This window comes from Homo sapiens, chromosome 4 (assembly GCF_000001405.40).
Source record: "Homo sapiens chromosome 4, GRCh38.p14 Primary Assembly".
NCBI lineage: Eukaryota > Metazoa > Chordata > Mammalia > Primates > Hominidae > Homo > Homo sapiens.
The window spans coordinates 188,480,103-188,499,490 of record NC_000004.12 but is presented as its reverse complement, the minus strand read 5'-3'; the positions used below and the strand labels follow the sequence as shown (position 1 = coordinate 188,499,490).

Sequence of the window (19,388 nt, the reverse complement as noted above, 5' to 3'; positions counted from 1 at the left end):
TCTTGTACTTCTGAGTTAGGATTGCTTGAACGAAGAGCTACACAGAGGAGTTTCAGAAGTACTAAAGTCCTCTCTTTTTTTTTTTTTTTTTTGACAGAGTCTCGCTCTGTCAACCAGGCTGGAGTGCAGTGGCATAATCTCAGATCACTGCAACCTCCACCTTCCGGGTTCAAGTGATTCTCCTGCCCCAGTCTCCTGAGTAGCTGGGATTACAGGTGTACACGACCAAGCCCAGCTAATTTTTGTATCTTTAGTAGAGATGGGGTTTCACTATGTTGGCCAGGCTGGTCTCGAACTCCTGACCTCATGATCCTCCCACCTCAGCCTCACAAAGTGCTGGGATTACAGGCCTGAGCCACTGTGCCTGGCCTAAAACGCTCCTTGAGGCTAAAAATACTTCCCCCGTGCCACCCGTGTTATTTTGAAGCTAAAATAAACTTCCTTAGAAGATCTGAAATGTCACCATTGGTATGAGTCTTTCAAGAAAACAGGACATAGTGTCTCTAGAGTGTTATCTAAGTAGAATAAATAGTGTATATGGGGATATCTGTATAAACTCTTCACCCAGATAGCCCACTCTAGCCGGGGGCAAGTCTAGGAATTAGAAAGCTTTTTGGTATTTTGAATATAAATCCTCACATTTTCTTTCACATCCTCCATGTCTTTCTGTCTCACTTCACTCTTCTTTTCCTTCTGTCTCCTAAAATGTTCAGCGCTGTCCAATCCCTTCATTCCATCACCATGTCCTGACGCATTGTTCTCTAGGCACAGACCTTTCACATTCCCCAGTATTCTTCCTCCCCAAATCTGGCCATTTCCCCACCTATCTCCTAGGACCATCTTCCAAGCCAGACAGTGCTCCCCCGCTCAAAGGATTTTCTTCATCTTCCACTTTCTCCAAGTCTTCCGGCTAGTCACCCTCCCCTTCTGAAACAGGACTCCCTCATGCTCTCTGGACTCTGGGCTTTCTTGCTTTGTCTCATTGGCCTCTGTCTTCTTACTGGTAAATCTTTGACCTGCTGATCCTTACTCATGGGAATCTTACAGGGTCTGCCCTGGGCCAAGCACTCTGTTTTCCCTATTAACATATCCACTTTCTTTACTCAAATGACTTTTCTACTAATATCATTTTTTGCCCTACCCTCACATCTGGGCCCCTTCACAATATTTCTTTTTCTGTTGAATATGACCTTGATATTTCAAGCTCAGCACATCCTGAACAATTCATTTTTTCCATCCCATATCCATCTTTCGAATGTCTCTATTTTTTTTTTTTTGGTACTTCTATATTTGTCACAAGTTCCCTGGCCAAAAGACTCAGATTCACTACATATTATTGTGATTATCTTCCTTCATCACTTATTTTCCATTTGTTAGTGGGTCCTGTTGTTTCTTCCTTTAAAGTTCTTTTAGGGATCAGGCCCTTTTATTTCATCTCCATTGCTACAACCTGGTGCCATACGCCAGTTCTGCCCAGTCAGTCGCCATCATTCTGCACATTTGCCCAAATAGTCTAATTCAAAAGGCCACTTTCTGTATATCCTCCTCAGGATTCAGACCCCTTTTCTCAGATATTAAGACCTTATCCTTACTCAGCACAGACAATTCTGAACCTGCATCTTCACTCCTAACAACAAAGGCACATTTGCTATTTGCTTTCCTTTCCTTATTATTATGTCTAATATGAATTATTTACATTTTACATCAAGTTTTCGGGGTGTGTGTGTGTGCGTGTGTGTGTGTGTGTGTGTAAAACAGATGAGTCTGGCACCAAAGGGTGAACATTGGTCACAGGTTGGGGAAGAGAAACTATAAGGATTTGGTACATTGGTATATTTCTTTTCACACAGGAGTATGTTTTTTCTCGTTTGACTCTTTGTAGGAAATACGGCTTTCAAATCAAGGTTTGTAATAATGAGGTGTAAGGGAGGGAAGTCAGTGATTCTGATTTAAAACTCGTACTCAGGCTTTAAAATGTTTTAAACGTAATGATGTTTAAACATTCTTTTTTAAAAAAAAAAAACTTTCCAAACTAGCAACAGAATTAACTAAGAGCAATGTCAGATATAAAGATTATTTGCAATTTTGGTATTATTACTGTTTCCACATGAGACTGTATTCAAGTTCAAGAATAAATTCAGCAGAAAAATGGGTAGGTTTTGTGAGTATAACTTAGTCAAGATATGAGAAAGACTTTTAAAAAAATTCATATGTGTAAATGAAAGAGGAGAAATTAATGGTAAGTCCTTTTAGTTTCTATGTGAAAGTCGCATGACATCGTAGGAAGATCAGAGGGCTAAGAGTGACTTAGGGCAAGGCATTTCATCTCAGCTTGGTGGCTTGAAAGGGTGATTATAACTCTTTCACGTTCCTCTCCAACCCTAAAATTCTATAACTTTTTAAATTTGGTCCTATTACTCACATTCACTTTTCAAATTTTTACCACTTGGTTTATTGGAACAACTGAAAAAAGATCCAGTGTGAAAGACAGATGATGGAAATGGCAAGGGCGGGCTGGGCATGGTGGCTCACACCTGTAATCCCAGCACTTTGGGAGGCCGAGGCAGATGGATCACCTAAGGTCAGGAGTTCGAGACCAGCCTGGCCAACGTGGCAAAACCCCATCTCTAATAAAACTACAAAAAAAAAAAAAAAAGTTAGCTGGGCATGGTGGCAGGTGCCTGTAATCGCAGTTACTCGGGAGGCTGAGGCAGGAGAACCTCTTGAACTCGGGAGGCTGAGTTTGCAGTGAGCCAAGATTGCACCATTGCACTCCAGCTTAAGAGACAGAGTGAAACTCTGTCTCAAAAAAAAAAAAAAGAAAAAGAAAAAGAAAAAGAAAAAAAGAAATGATAAGGGCAATGTATGGATTAAACTGAGTACTTAGGGATCCAGTGCCAGGAAGAAATGCAGGGAAAAGAGGTTGGAGGGCTCTGAAAACTGGGTGGTAGTTGACGCATTGAGGAAGAAGACAAGATTTTGAAGTACTACCAAAGTGGAGGAAAGCGCCCTATTTGTCTGCAGAATTCTCCAGCTTGGATTGAAGGCAACTTGGAGACAGCAGCCTCTCTTTTAGCTCTGGCCCCCAAAGCTCAGAGCTGGGAGGGCCATCCACCATCCCAAGCTCGCCCCTCTCCTCTCTCAAGCCGCGCTCTGCAGGGTAAGGACTGTGAAGGCAGCAGGTGCGGGGAGCGTGAGCTTCAAGGCAGGGACCTCTCTTTCTAAGGTGGTGAGGAAAAGACTGGCTTCTTTTTCTCTGTATCTCCTGCTTGGAGCAGCCGCAGTTGCAGGATGTGCACAGCAGAGCTGAGTAACTAAAAGCCCAGCTTTCTGGCTAGATGATCAAAACGAGGAAAGGAGAAGCTGTGGCCGGGGAGATCCTGGAAAGGGAGGAGCTTGGGAAGACAGCCTCACAGTGTGGCTTGGGCAGAGGAACGGATCAATGGCACAGGATAAAGGAACTGGACATAGACCTGCATAGGTGCAGTCAACTTAATTTTTTAAAATGAAAATGCAAAGCAATCCCATAGAGGAAGATTAGAATTTGCAACAAAAGATGTTGGGAAAATTAAACACTGTAGGCCAAAAAAGAAAACACACAAACAAAAAGCTAGACCTAAACTTCACACTTTCTATAAAAATTAACTCAAAATAGATCATAGATCTAAATGTAAAGTGTGAAACTACAACATTTCTAGAAGAAAACACAGGAAAAAAATCTTCCTGTGCAAGAGTTAGACAAAAAGTTGTCATGTCTAAGAAAGAAAAAAATTGGTAATATGGACTTCATCAAACTTTCAAACTTCAGTTCTAAGTAGGGCTTGTTAGGAGGATAAAAAGTTAGCTATTGCCTGGAAGAAATATTTACAAATCACATACCTAAGAAAGAACTTTTATCCAGACCATATAAAGAATGCTGCAACCTCAACAACAAGAAAACAGGCAAAACATTTGTTGACACCTCATCAAGGAAGGTATAGAGATAGCAAATAAGCACATAAAAAGATGTTCACCATCATTAGCCATTAGGGAAATGCAAATTAAAGCTACAATGAGACATCAATGCACACCTAATAAGTGGCTAAAATAAAAATACTGACAATACCGTGTGCTGACAAGCACGCAGAGCAGCAGGCTTTCTCATGCACTGCTGATGGAAATGGAAAACAGCATAACCATTGTGGAAGGTGGTATGGCTGTTTCCTACAAAGTTAAAAACATATTTGCAATGCAATCCAGGCCTCCTGGGTATTTATGCTACAGAAGTGAAACACACAGTCACACAGGAATGTGAACACAGATGTTCATTGCTGCTTCATGTGTAGCAGCCCACGACTTGAAACCACTCAAACATCCTTCAACCTGTGAATAAATAGACAAACTGTGACACAAAACAAAGAAACAAACTATCAATGCAGGCAACAGCTTAGGTGGATTTGTAGGGCTTTATGATGAATGAAAAAAAAGCAATCTCAAAATGGTGCTACCTACATTATTCTACTTACGTACCATTCTTTTTTTTTTTTGTTTTTGAGACAGAGTGTCACTCTGTCACCCAGGCTGGAGTGCAGTGGTGCGATCTCAGCTCACTGCAAGCTCCACCTCCTGGGTTCAAGCCATTCTCCTGCCTCAGCCTCCCGAGTAGCTGGGACTACAGGCGCCCACCACCATGCCTGGCTAATTTTTTGTACTTTTTTTAGTAGAGACGGGGTTTCACCGTGTTAGCCAGGATGGTCTCGATCTCCTGACCTCGTGATCCGCCCACCTTGGCCTCCCAAAGTGCTGGGATTACAGGTGTGAGCCACTGCACCCTGCCCTTACATACCTTTCTTAAAGTGTAAAATTAGAGTGTGAAGACCTAACAGCTGGTGCCAAAGGTCAGAGTCAGGGAGAAAGCGTGACTGAAAGGACAAAGGAGCATCTTTGCACTGCTCCTTTCAGTCACACCTTCTCATGAGACTGATGAAGCAGTTCTGTACCCTGATTCTAACTGGGACTGGGTGGTGATGGCTGAACACATCTACAGAAATCTGTGGAAACATCTTTATCCAGAAAGATTTTCAAAGGAAGACAGAAAAAGAACTATAAACACAAAACAAAAGACAGAAAGAAAAAACTGAACTTAAATGCTGTTGAAATCTGTATGTACATGTGTTAATAGTATTGTACCTCTTAACAGCTTCCTCATTTGGACCATGCACTGAGGTCCTGGAAGATATTTTCATTAGGGGACACTGGCTTAAGAATACGCCAGAATTAAGTCTGGGCACAGTGGCTCATGCCTGAATCCCAGCGCTTTGGGAAACCAAAGCAGGAGGATCCCTTGAGGCCAGGAGTTCTAAATCAGCCTGGGCAACATAGCGGACCTCATCTCTACAAAAAATTTAAAAATTAGCTGGGCATGGTGAGGGGTGATTGTAGTTCTAGCTACTCAGGAGGTTGAGGCAAGAGGATCGCTTGTTCCTGGGAGGTCGAGGCAACAGTGAGCCATGATCACACCACTGCCCTCCAGCCTGAGAGACAGAACAAGTCCGTCTCTCCAAAAAAAAAAAAAAAAAAAAAAAAAAAAGAATACACCAGAACTCACTATACCATTTTGCAATGTCTGGGAGGCAACGCATATTTCAAAAGAAAAGCTACAATAAAAAAAAAAAAAGAAAGGGAAAATGAATACTTAGGGACAATTAAGAGTCTACCAAATTCGATAAAATTACTTTACTGGACAACAAGGTCACACTTTCAATTTTCATATTTCCCTAACACTTAGTAGAGCAGCTTAAATGAAATTGCATTTAATAATATGTGAATATCAGAGAAAACCAGGTAATTTAAAATTAAATTGCCAACTAAATATCTTAGTAGGATGCCAAATAGTAATTATCCTATTATCACCTTTTTATTACTTCTTAAGTTTAGTTTTAAGTTTTACTACTTAAAATTGTTAGCATAGGTTCCTTAAAATCAGTATGTTACTACATGCTTCTCCGTTTCTGAAAGAATTCTTCTTAAGAAAAAAAATTAGTTGAAAAATGTAATATGTCTGTATTAACTAATCAGATAAGATATCAAATTTTGTGAGGGATATTTTACTCCTAAGATTCTAATGCACCATGTTAAGCTTTATCCACAAAGATTTTCAAAGGAAGACAGAAAAAAAATCTATTTCATATTCAACATTCTGTCAAGGACTCCATATAAACTTCTCTGAAATGAAACATTTTCATTTTCAGACCGTGTGAATAACTGGTTGAATTTGGACACTCAACCCTGACCTCGGGTCCTTAGGTATATTTCACATGTTTCAGACGTGACTGATTGCCTGTTGAGTTCAATTATTCCTCCAACGCCTGAAGGATTCTGAAGAACCCTAACATTTGCAGGAAGTGACCTTGCTCCCACTCCATCATGCAACAGCTGTCAGAGATGTTTCTGTGGCCCACTCTGTCAGACGAGAAGACGATTTATCAGGTAAAACCTCTGTTGTTGGACAGTGAAATTGCAGGGCTTCATTCTTTTAAGACTCTTATTTTGGCATAAAAGATTCCAGGTGACAATAACAAAGATAAGTGTTAGTGGTTACAATGTGAGATTTATAGATGGTGTCTGTGTCCTGCAGTAGTGGAGATAGTTGGAAGATACATAAATCCTACAAATCCTACATTTTTGCTGTATTAATAAATATTTGGATGGAAACCAGGAAACATTTTCATTGTCAATTACTTGGCATTAGACTGAAAATTCCTCATGGACAAAACTTCTTATGAATCCAATTGCCCCAGCCTTGTGCACACAAGATGGCACTAGCTTGGGGGCCTGAATGGGGTTGCACTGGTGAGCAAATTAATGACAGGAAACCTACGGGAAAGGGGGTTATCAGTTGCTTTTTCTTCCCAGCACACGAAATGTACGTTTAGGTCATACTATTCAGTTTCAACTTGGGTAAGGAAGAATAGCCTAGGTGAATATATACATTTCCATTAAAAAGTAATCTTAATGCTTCTCTTTCATACCCCTGGTTTTCCTCAAGCATTTGGTGTTTTCTCCCTACCTGTCACATTGATAACTAAGCGATTAAAATGTATGGCATATGTAACTGGCATAGGTTTCCTTGACAACTATGTAGGTCTCCTTCCTCATAGTCCATTCCCAGAATGAGGGTCCCGGCAGCAGCTCTCTGAAAATGAGAGTGGGGAATGCAGGGGGTGTCACCTGTAGGGTGACTGACTGAAGAGCAGGCAGGCTGGAGGCTGGGAGACCATAGAGTTTCCAGTTTCAGGAGCACTTTTCTCTGTGGCCCAAGGGCTTGAGTGCATTTCCTCTTCTAAGAGAGTTGCTCTTCACTTGTTTTATTTTTGCCTCCTTGCCTTTTGAGGAAGTTCTGCATTACCCAAGGCTGTGCTCAGCCTTCTCTCAGAGTCCAGCATCCGCACCAGGAGCTTTCTACACGTAGAGCACCTGCTTTACTTCGAGGACAATTCTCCAGGCTTAATTCTGGGGACAAAGGCCCGTCGTAGCCAGGCACCATTTTGAATCAGTACCAGTCTTTGTCCTGTAATTTCTTTCTACAAATTTGAGTTATACTGCTTTACAAATTATGTCTGTATCCCCATGCCATTGACTTTATTTTCTAAAAGGCATTTCTAATAGATGCATGGTATTCTATTCACTGTCACTACCAAAGTTTATTTAGTCATGCTCCTATTAGTGACCACTTGAGTATCCCCAATTTTATCATATTTAACATTGTAATGAAAAGCTTTATATAGAAATAGTTGCCATCTATAATTATTTCCTAGAAATAGAACTGTTGTTACAAAGTGAATGAACAATTTGATTGTAACACGGATTGACAAATTGTATTCTAATAGTTTATACAAAGTTACCCTCCCACTAGCAGTCTAAAAGGCTCCCTTTTTCCCCATTTTCTTCTGTTCACTTTATTTTGGTTTTTCTCCCCATCAATTGTATCAGTAGAAAATAATATCACTTTATTTAGACTTTTTTTATTACTTATGCAATTAAGGTTTTTGCATTTATAGGCCACTTTTATACAATTTGTAATATCACTTTATTTAGACTTTTTTATTACTTATGCAATTGAGGTTTTTGCATTCATAGGCCACTTATATACAATTTGTGAACTGGCAATGCTATCTCCTTTTTTAAATAGAGAAATTATAATTCTTTACACTGATTTGTAAGAGTACCTTATGGAAAAGAATATTGACACTCATTCTTGTTTATAATAATGTTTGTTTAGTCAAGTCTATCTATTTTTTTTTTTTGCTTTTCTTTTTTAAAAATACATATTTCACCAACAGCATCCAGGCTGAGGGTGAAATCAAGAACACAGTCCCACTTACAACAGCCACAAAGAAAATAAAATACCTATAGGCATACAGCTAACCAAGGAGATGAACGATCTCTACGAGAAGCACAAAACACTGCTGAAAGAAATAAGAGATGAGACGACACAAATAAATGGAAAAATATCCCATGCTCAAGGATTGGAAAAACTAAAGCTGACCCAATTGTCCCATAGACAGTTTTATTCTGGTGTTTGGTTTTTTTTTTGTTTTTTTGGTTTTTGGTTTTTGTTTTTGAGATGGAGTATCGCTCTGTCACCAGGCTGGAGTGCAGTGGTGCAATCTCAGTTCACTGCACCCTCCGCCTCCCAGGTTCAAGCAATTCTCCTGCCTCAGCCTCCCAAGTAGCTGGGATTACAGGCATGTGCCACCATGCCTGGCTAATTTTTGTATTTTTAGTAGACATGATGCTTCACCATGTTGGCCAGGATGGTCTCAATCTCTTGACCTCGTGATCTGCCCGCCTCAGCCTCCCAAAGTGCTGGGATTACAGGCATGAGCCACCACGCCCAGTCTAACAGTTTTTTTCTTTTTAATAAACATAGAAATTGACCCTTCTGGTCTTAAAGCTTGAAACTTATATTTGTTTTATCTGAGTTCCTTCCTGAGGAAATGACCTTCAGGCCTCTCACAAAAAGTGTCAAAGAACTGAAACTCAGTAGATCATCACATCCAGACAATGAGATGTTGTACCCCTCATTCATCGCGATTGCTTCCTGACACCTCCCTAGTTCCTGTTTTCTTACACAATGTTACATTCCTTCCTTGTTATATAAATCCCTGGTTTTAGTAGGTCAGAGAGATGGATTTGAGACTGAGTTCCCACCTCCTCTGCTGCAGCACCGGATTAAAGCTTCTTCCTTGGCAATACTTGCTGTCTCAGTCATTGGCTTTCTGTGCAGCAAGCAGCAGGACCTAGACTGAGCACCTGGTGTTTCAGTACCAAAACCACTATTGTAAAAATGGCCGTATTGCTCAAAGCACTTTACAGATTCAATGCTATACCTATCAAATTACCAACGTCATTCTTCACAGGATTAGAACATTTACTTTAGAAAATTTACTAAAATTAGAAAATTACTCTAAAATTTGTATTGAACCAAAAAGAGCCTGAACAGCCAAAGAAAGCCTAAGCAAAAAGAACAATGCCAGAGGCATCACTCTTTCCAACCTCATACTATACTATAAAGCCACAGTAACCAAAACAGCATGGTGCTGTTACAGAAACAGACACATAGACCAATGCAAAAGAATAGAAAACAAACAAATAAAGCTACATACCAACAACCATCTGATCTTTGACAAGGCCAACAAAAACAAGCAATGGGAAAGAACTCCCTATTCAATAAACACAGCTGGGATAACTGGCTAGCCATATGTAGCAGAATGAAACTGGACCCCTCCGTTTCACCTCATACAAAAATTAACTGAAAATACATTAAAGATTTAAATGTAAGACCTCAAACTATAAAAATTCTGGAAGGCAACCTAGGAAACATTCTTCTGGACATCAGCCTTGGCAAATAATTTTTAGCTAAGTCCCCAAAAGCACTTGCAACAAAAACAAAAACGGGACAAGTGGGACCTAATTAAACTCCAGAACTTTTACATAGCAAAATAAACAGAGAGTAAAAATCAGCACAGTAAACAGGCAGTCTAGGGAATGGGAGGAGATATTCGCAAAGTATGCACCTGACAAAGGCCTAATATCCAGAATCTATAGGGAACTTAAACAGTTGAACAAACAAAACCCAATTAACCCCATTAAAAGATGGGCAAAGACATGAACAGACATTTCTCAAAGAAGACATACATCAAATGTGTGAAAAAACGCTCAGCATCGCTAATCATCAGAGAAATCCAAATCAAAACCACAATGAGATACCATCTCATACCAGTCAGAATGGCTATTATAAAAAGTCAAAAAAACAGATGCTGGCAACATTGCAGAGAAAAGGGAAAGCTTATACGCTGTTAGTGGGAATGTAAATTAGACCAATCCACTGAGGAAGCAGTCTGGAGATTTCTCAAAACTTAAAACAAAGCTACCATTTGACTCAGCAATCCCATTACTGGGTATACACTCAAAAGAAAATAAATCATTCTGCCAAAAACACATTTACACTCAGATGTCCACTGCATCACTATTCACAATAGCAAAGACATGGAATCCACACAGGCGACCATCAGTAGGAAATTGGACAAAGAAAATGTGGTACATAAACACCATGAAATACTATACGCCATAAAAAAGAATAAAATCACATTCTTTGCAGCAACATAGATGGAGCTGGGGCGATCTAAGCAAATGAATGCAGAAACAGAAAACCAAATACCACATATTCTCACTTATAAATGGAAGCTAAGCATTGAGCATGTATGGACATAAATATGAGACACAATAGACACTGTGGACTACTAGACGGTGGAGGGAGGGAGGGAGGGAGGTTAGGTTAAAAAAGACTACCTATCAGGAACTATGCTCACTACCAGGGTGATGGGAAACGTACTTCAAACCACAGCATCATGCAATAGTCCATTGTAACAAATCTGCCCATGTACCTCCTATATCTAAATTGCAAGCTGAAATTTTTTAAAAAAGAAAAAACCCTATACAATAAAAATACATATTTGGTTTGAGATAAGTCAAATATTTTCCGGTATGTTAGTTAATTTAGAAAAATATTTCACTGATTAAGCCATTCAAATATTATTTTAGTTTTGCATGTGACATAAAAAAGGGAATCTGATGTGTGTGTGTATCGGAAATATTTATCCAATTTCCTCTCATGGTTTATTAAATTTTTCATCATTTTCCACGTGTTTAAAATGCCAGCTGCACACTATACATAAGGCATACATATTAATATTTTTCTAAAATGTATCTCAGGTCCCATTGACCTATCTATTCTCCAACTAATGTCATAATCTGGCAGGGCCAGATTATGTACTTAGCTCAAATCTTACTCTGATAGCAGTGGGAGGGTGTGTATCAAAAGGCTAAGACCAGGTAGGAAAGCAGGAAGCAAAGTTGTAAACGTCAGCAGACATTTGGGAGCTGGTCGGAGGGTGTGTGTGTCTGAACTCAGTGTCCGCCCTCCCTTGCAGGCTGCAACAGTCTCAAAACAGTGCCAGTGGGTTCTCCAGAGCTACGGGTAAATGTGGTTTTGCCTACACTCAAAACCCACTTGATATGTCTCTCTCTTTCTGTTATCTCCTGTGTCATTTCTGTATCTCTGCTCAGACCTTTGAGTAGCTGTTTGGCTGCACTGGGTTCTCCATTTTGCCTTTGCTCCATAGATGTCCCCTTTGAATAAACTGTAGGTCTATGTGACCTCCATCTGGTACCCTCTTACCCAATATCCCATTTCAGGAGGAAAACCATATAGGTAATAGCATATAAAAAATGTTAAACAACAGAAAATCATTTCTTAAAAAGATACTAATGATTGGGGTATTGGGAGGTTGGTAAACGAGAGATGGTAATTTTTATAGGGAGGGTAGAGAAAGCGGTCACCTCCTGCAATTCTGCCCAGGACAACAGGACAAGAGATAGTATCACTCACTGATTTAGAAAATGCATAAGAAAGAACTGGCCTCATACTTAAGGATCATAAGTTCAGTTTTGTGTATGTTAAGATGGAATTGCCTTTTGGTGATTCCCTAAAAGGCAGTTAAATATGTGAAGCTGTAGAAAGAGAGTTGGGAGTAAAGAACATATTAGCAGCAGTTGAACCCATAGCAATGGATGAAATCACTTAGATAAATCTCATGGAATAAGAAGACGGGAAAGGCATATGTGGAAATCTAACTTTGCAAGTATGGGCAAAGGAAAGGGAGCATAATAAAGTGTCTGACAAGCAGTGGTCAGAAACTCAGCAGTAGGATAGCAATTACTATCATAAAAGCCCACCAAGAAGAAAGTACTCAGAAGGAGGGAGTGATAAACAGCTTCAAATGCAAATAGCATGTAAACTGCCACATGTTTATCAGAATAGGCCACTGCAAAGTTCCATCTGTGACATGGGAGAAAGGGCTTTCTGCAAAATTACTCAGCCAGAAAGCTGGATTAAATGGGAAATGATGAAAGGAGGCATTGCAGGCTATTCTTTAGATTAGATTGCCTGCATTAGTAGGTTAAAAGATTGAGGGGGAGAATGTTTATCATTAAAAAATAAAAAAGATGTTGTTTCTATATTGAGTAGCATAATCTATCAATGAAGCAGAGATTGAAGATGTGGAAGAAAGTGAGTATCATGAGAGAGGCTATTCTCCCAGGAAGTCCAGAAGAGACACACAGAGAACAGAGGTTGGAAGTGACCCAAAGACGAAGTGAAGGATGGCAGCTCCTCTCAGGCCCGAGGAATGATTTGGCGTTGATGAATGGAACAATGGTATGGTAGCATCTTAAAGAAGAAGGATTTGATCTTTAGCAATATGGGGTGAGAGAAAAAATGTTTTATCAGTCCTAAACCAAAAATAAGTTACAGTGATGAGAAGTATGTCGTTAACAGACTTATTCATTTATTCAAGTCACATTGATTATCTACCACGTACCAGACACTACTATTTAGACATAACAATTAAAATCTAGCCTATAAAATTAATAAGAAATTAATTATGAAAAATAACATTTTAAAATAATAAGTCTTTGGTGTGATGAGTGTTACCAAAAAAGTAGTATGAGAAATCAGGTTTGATGACTTTTTTTATAATTTTTTATTGAAAAATAAAAGTTGTATATATTTATCATGTACCACATGATGTTTTAAAATATATACACATTTTATAATGGCTACATTGAACTAAAATAATTCCGATACTACCTCTTTCTTTCATATTGTTAACCAGAAGGAGGAGAGTTGGACCTGAATGCTTGCTATTTGCACTTTACCCTGTGCGTCCAGTCCTCAAGTACAACATACAGTCATAGGCAGAGTGAGACATCTGAAACTGTAGAAATGTCTGAAATAGTTGCTGGCCCAAAACTACTTTGATGAGAGAACAGATGGGTGACAGCCTGGAGTTTCTATAAGCAGTTAGGAAAAATAGTCAATGTTAGCAAACAACATCCATAGTAACAAGCCTGAAATCGCCAAGAGAATATTTTTCATTACTGATGTGTAAACATTTGCCAAAGTTATGACGAGCAGAAGCTGCTTCTCCTAACCTCGTGGTGCCCACTCCGCTGAGTGTCTTTCCAAAAGCAATTCACTGAGCTCATGGTACCTGTAAAACATCTCGTCCAGGGAGCCTTACCTTATCAAAGAGTATGCGACACTTTATCTAATGAGTGTGCTTCTAAGACATGTGTCCCCAGTCGTATAGCTTCTTCCTTTCGGGTTCCTGAGGGAGACGACAGAAAAAACAAAATATCAGTGGATTCATAAGAATTAGTACAAAAGCCCCGAAAAACAAAAATTCATTTTGTTTACAAGGTAGGATTTGAGAACAAAAGAATAATAAGTAATTATTTCTGTGTGTAATGATATTTACGTGAATTCCCCTTCTACCGGTTTTCTACTGATACTGGAACAAAGTACTACAGACCTTGTGACACAAACCACCAGGAATGTATTATCTTCCAGTACTGTAAGTCGGAAGCCCAACAGGGATCTCCTGGGCTAAAATAAATGAATTAGTTGGACTGTGTTCCCTTCTAGGGGCTTTAGGGAGACTTGATTTTCTTGCATTTTCCAGTTTCTAAAGGCCAACAACAATCCTTGGCTCAAGGCCCCTTTCCTCCATCTTCAAAGACAGGAAGGTTGTATCTCTCTGACCATTCTCACATCAGCACGTCTCCTTCTGACTCTGTCCTCTGACTCCTTCTTATACCTTTAAGGACCCTTGTGATTCCACTGGGCAGGACCCTCTCTCTAACTCAACGTCATTAAGTTTAATTACATCTGAAAGTCCTTCTGTCATGTAGGGTAACATATTCACAAGTTCTAGGGAATACCCTGCCTACCATGGCCCCATTGCTTAATTAAAAAGTTGATAACAGGTAAAATGGAAAAAATACAAAAATAATTTAGTCAGGCTTGATTATTTTAACATGTATGTTAAAAGTAGATTTTTATCAGTGGGATGAAACCAAGCTGTATATTCTACGTGGCCTTTCAGTACTCTTCTACTCGAGTAACAACTACGGAAGCTAGAGAGCATACAAAAAGATGGTGTAGGAAATGGTCAGTGCACAAGACCAGAAACTACACACCTGTGTAGTGGTATTGGCTTTTTTAATGTGCTGTGAAAACTAGGAAAAGCCATAATTTTAAAGGTCTTTTAAATATGTAAAGTGGGGGATATTAGGCATCATTATTGGCATATACACAGATACTTTATAATTTCTCACTCTGCCCTCAAAACATAAAAATCACGTGAGAAATCTGCATGTGAAAGTTCTTTGTAAATTGTAAAACACCATATAATTATGAGGGATTTTTACAAGTTTTTGAAAGCTTTTCACATGGATTAATTATCATTGATTCAAAGAGAGTTATGATGTATGTAGGACAACTGTTATCATTCTCTTTTCAATTATACAGCAATTGAGACTGACAGGATGTTTGTTGTCCCAAGCCAAAACGGTAACAGATTTGAGATTCCAAAGACTCAACGGGAGTCTTTGCCCTCACCTCCTGGGTATGCACTCCTACATCCGCTTGTAAATTAAGGGATTAAACACTCAGGCAAAAAGCACACAATATAACTTCAGTCCATGAGTGAAAGCTTGGCCTCTAACAAAATGACGACTTGAAGAATCATGAGAAAGAAAGAGACTGCCAATGTGAGCAGAGGAACCTCGTCAACAGTGACTTGACAGGAAAGAAAAATTTTAGATGTAATTAATTTCAAAGATTTATAATCAGCCTATGGGTGGGTAGAGGAGTAGACCAGTAATCCTGACAATTGGAAGTTAGATTTAGTGTTTGCTTTTGTGTAGTGTTAGAAAAAATTGTGTAGAGTGTAGAACTACGCCACTATAATGATATCTGTTGTACAATGAAGAAAAATTCCCACGTCATCACGGAAGTATAAGATGCTCAATAATAATTAGTGACTAATTATCAGAGAAATGCAAATCAAAACCAATTGCAATGCAATGATATATCACCTTACTCCCATTCAGATGAATACTACCAAAATAAATAAGTAAAATCACAACTATTGACAAGAATGTCGAGAAATCGGGACTCTTGTGCACTGTGGGGACTGTAAAATGGTGCAACAGCTATGGAAAGTGAAGTATTAAGGATTTACCTAAAAAGACTCAGTTATTCCAAAGTAATCATTTAAAATCGAATGGGGGGTGTATTTTAAATAGATTCCATATTTAAACTGAAGGGAGACAGTTGAAACTGGAAGAAACTGTAATATTGTTCACTGTAAATTCTAACTTATTCAGCTATCTGTTGAAACATTGGCTCAAAAGCTATAGTGGTTTTTCAAAAAATTGAATATATGATCTAGCAATCTCACTTCTGAGTATATACCCAAAAGAATTAAAAACAGCATCTTGAGGTCTTTCACACCTACGTTCATAGCTGTACTATTCACAACAGCCAAAAGGTGGAAGCAACCTAAACGTTCATCAGCAGATGAGTGGATAAACAAAATGTGGTATAGGCACACAGTGTGATATTATTCTACCTTAAAAACAAAGGAAATTATTTCACATGCTATAACATAAATGAACCTCGAAGACTCTGGGCTAAATGAAATAAGTCACTTACAAAAAGGCAAATACTGTATGATTCCACTTTTACAAGGTATTTAAAGTAGCAAAATTTATTGAAACACAAGATAGAATAGTGGTTACCAGGGTTGGGGAGAGTTGAAAAGTGGGAATTGTTGTTCAATGATTATAAAGTTTTACTTTGGCAAGATTATTCAGGTGAATGTGCTTAACATTACTTAACTACACAATTTAAAAAGAGCCCAAATAGCCAAGGCAATCCTAAGCAAAAATAACAAAGCTGGAGGCATCACATTACCGGACTTCAAACTATACTACAAGGCTACAGTAACTAAAACAGCATGATACTGGTACAAAAACAGACACATAGACCAACAGAACCAAATAGATAATCCAGAAATAAGACCAGACATCTAAATCATCTGACCTTTGACAAATATGACAGAAACAAGCAATGGAGAAAAGACTTCTTATTTCAATAAATGGTGCTAGGATAACTGGCTAGCCACATGTAGAAGACTGAAACTGGATTCCTTCTTTACAGCATACACAAAAATCAACTCAAAATGGATTAACGCCTTAAATATAAAACCCAAAACTATAAAAACCCTGGAAAATAACCTAGGAAATACCATTCTGGACATAGGAAGTGGCAAAGATTTCATAACAAAAACACAAAAAGCAATTGCAACAAAGCACAAATTAACAAATGGGATCTAATTGAACTAAAGAGCTTCTTCACAGTATAAGAAACTATCAGCCAGGCACAGTGGCTCACGCCTGTAATCCCAGCACTTTGGGAGGCCGAGGCAGGCAGATCACGAGGTCAAGAGATCAAGACCATCCTGGCCAACATAGTGAAACCCCGTCTCTACTAAAAATACAAAAATTAGCTGGGTGTGGTGGCACATGCCTGTAGTCCCAGCTTCTCGGGAGGCTGAGGCAAGAGAGTGTCCAGAGTGACACTCCAGGCTGCTGTGTGGATGCAAGGACCCACTCTCCTCCTGCAGACATAGAAAGGGTACTCCTCATAGACACAGCCACCAACCTGGAGAAGTAAAGGAGAGTGAGTCTGGGCGCAGTGGCTTACACCTGTAATTTCAGCACTTTGGGAGGCCAAGGTGGGCTGTGTCTCTACAAAAACTACCAAAAAAAATTAGCCAGGTGTGGTGACACATGCCTGTAATCCCAGCTACTCCAGAGATTGAGGCATGAGAATCACTTAAACCCAAGAAGCGGAGGTTGCAGTGAGCCAAGGTCACACCATTGCACTCCAGCCTGGGTGACAGAGTGAGACTCTGTCTCAAACAAACAAACAAACAAACAAAAAAACAAACAAAAAAGAGTGAGAGAAGTGAGAGAAAAGTAGAGTATTGAAGATTTATCTGAAAGGACTCAGTTGTTCCAAAACAATCCTTTAATATCTAATAGGGAGTTGTATTTATTTTAAATACACCCCATATTAAACTGAAGGGAGACAGTTGAAACTGAAATATTATTAACTAGAAATTCTAAACTACGCAGCTATCTGCTGAAACATTGGCAAGAGCAGGCCCATGATAGAGAATAACAAAACTATACGTTCTGTGGATACCTAAGTTGGAGTGCCTGTTAAATGGGTATTCTCTGTCTCTGTTTTGACTGAGGCCCAAAGATAGTAACTGTCAATGCTACTCATATTGCAGAACAATCTGTGAATCCATCAAAGCAGACCTTGCCAAGGAGGCGGCTGGGAATAATTTGGGGACCCTCGGAAGACCACTTGCCTCCATTCTTTTAGAAATATTGGACACGAAATTAGAAAGGTTTTTTGTGGGAAAGATATTGGTATGCTGCTGTTCCACTACTTGGCCTCCAGGACTTTTCTGAGGGACAAAGATGCCTGCTAGGGATTCACTTTATATCTGTGTCAGGAGATGATGGGTCTGTGTTAGTCTGTTTTATGCTGCTGTAACAGAGTACCACAGACTGGGTAATTTATGATGAACAGAAGTTTATGTGGTTCATGGTTCTGGAGGCTGGAAGTCCAAGAGCATGATGCCGACATCTGACAAGGGCCTTCATGCTGCATTATGTCATGACAGAAAGTGGAACGGCAAAAGAGGTCAAGAGCAAGAGCAAGAGGAGGCTGAACTTGCTTTTATAACAAGCCTACTCTCTTAATAATGAACCCACTTCCACGATAATGGTGTTAGTCCACTTATGAGGGCTCTGCCTTCTTAAAGGTTTCATGTCTCAAAACTGTTTCACTGGCAAATAAGTTTCCAACATATTCAGACCAAAGAAGAGTCCTCAGATCCACCCAGAGTCCAGAGGTGCCCACTGTGGAGTGGGCAGATTGGTCTCATTTAACCCTTTGTTGTGACTTGCTGGCACCTGTTCCTAGAGCCCATGGCTCTGACCATTTGACATGCATTTGAAGTCCTTACCAGTAGTGTCCTCTTTATTGTGATTCCAGATGTGGCAGACAGAAAGAGATAGAAAGTGTGCCAGTTTGGGGTTCATCTCAGATGCTATCCAGGAAGACTACCCAGAAGGACTTGTCAAGAAAAGGGTGAGTCAGCAGCTTCCTAGGAGCTGAGGGAGGAGACAGAAATGGTTGAGGTAAAGAGATAAAACCCTGCATTTCTAGCACCATGGCCAGAATGGAAGCAATACTTGATTTCCTGAATGTCCAAGAGCATATGCTCTATGTGACACCAGGGGTAAAAAGAGAGGGTGCAGCTGTTGAAATTCAACAGTCACTGGAGTTGAGCATCGTGGCTTACTCAGTTCCTGGGGAAGAGAGGTGTGCTTGCCTGCCAGGCTTGCATTGCAACAACTAGCATTTCCTGTTCTCTCTGCCCACTAAGAAAGAGCTAGAAGAAGAAGGGAAAACTGCTGCATTCAGAAAGTGGAAACATTTATGGAAGCAGAGATTTTACTATGTCCCCCGAAGAAAAAATTGGTAGACTGAAAATAGCTGCCAATGTCCGCCATGTGAATTAGCATGAACCACCCCAATTAAATAGAGAAATATTTCAATAGTGATTCTAAACATACACATCACATCGAATGTGTTCATATGAATTTTAAGTAGTCTGCTCTCCAGAAAGCACTAAGGGCTGCTTTGTACAGCACAAGAAATGGCCCTGAATGCCAAAAAGTTCCTTCAAACACCACAAAACTACTTGATATACAGTTTATCTGAAAAAGATTCCCACAAGGTATAAACTGAATTCCTTAAACACACTGCCAATAGATGAAGAAAATAGTGGTTTAATAAATACTGAATTCCTTTCTATAAAAGTATATCCAAAAGGAAAAAGTTGAAATTGAAGATG

General features: G+C 39.5%; 1 long non-coding RNA gene across 1 annotated transcript in view, besides 1 other annotated feature; it reads right to left on the bottom strand.

Annotated features, from left to right (window-relative positions):
* The window catches only part of LINC01060 (long intergenic non-protein coding RNA 1060), a 146,331-nt gene that overhangs the window by 102,418 nt on the left and 24,525 nt on the right, over positions 1-19,388 (bottom strand). The window contains exon 4 of the long non-coding RNA NR_033869.1: positions 13,626-13,712. This is a non-coding gene — a long non-coding RNA (long intergenic non-protein coding RNA 1060). The remainder of the gene's footprint in view (positions 1-13,625; positions 13,713-19,388) is intronic.
* Positions 13,252-14,451: an enhancer, noted in NCBI's record as "BRD4-independent group 4 enhancer chr4:189406194-189407393 (GRCh37/hg19 assembly coordinates)". NCBI's record gives its function as "activates an origin of replication core promoter dependent on BRD2, P300/CBP, MED14 and CDK7 cofactors, and independent of BRD4, by STARR-seq in HCT116 cells {active_cell/tissue: HCT116}" and the evidence as "EXISTENCE:reporter gene assay evidence [ECO:0000049][PMID:35650434]".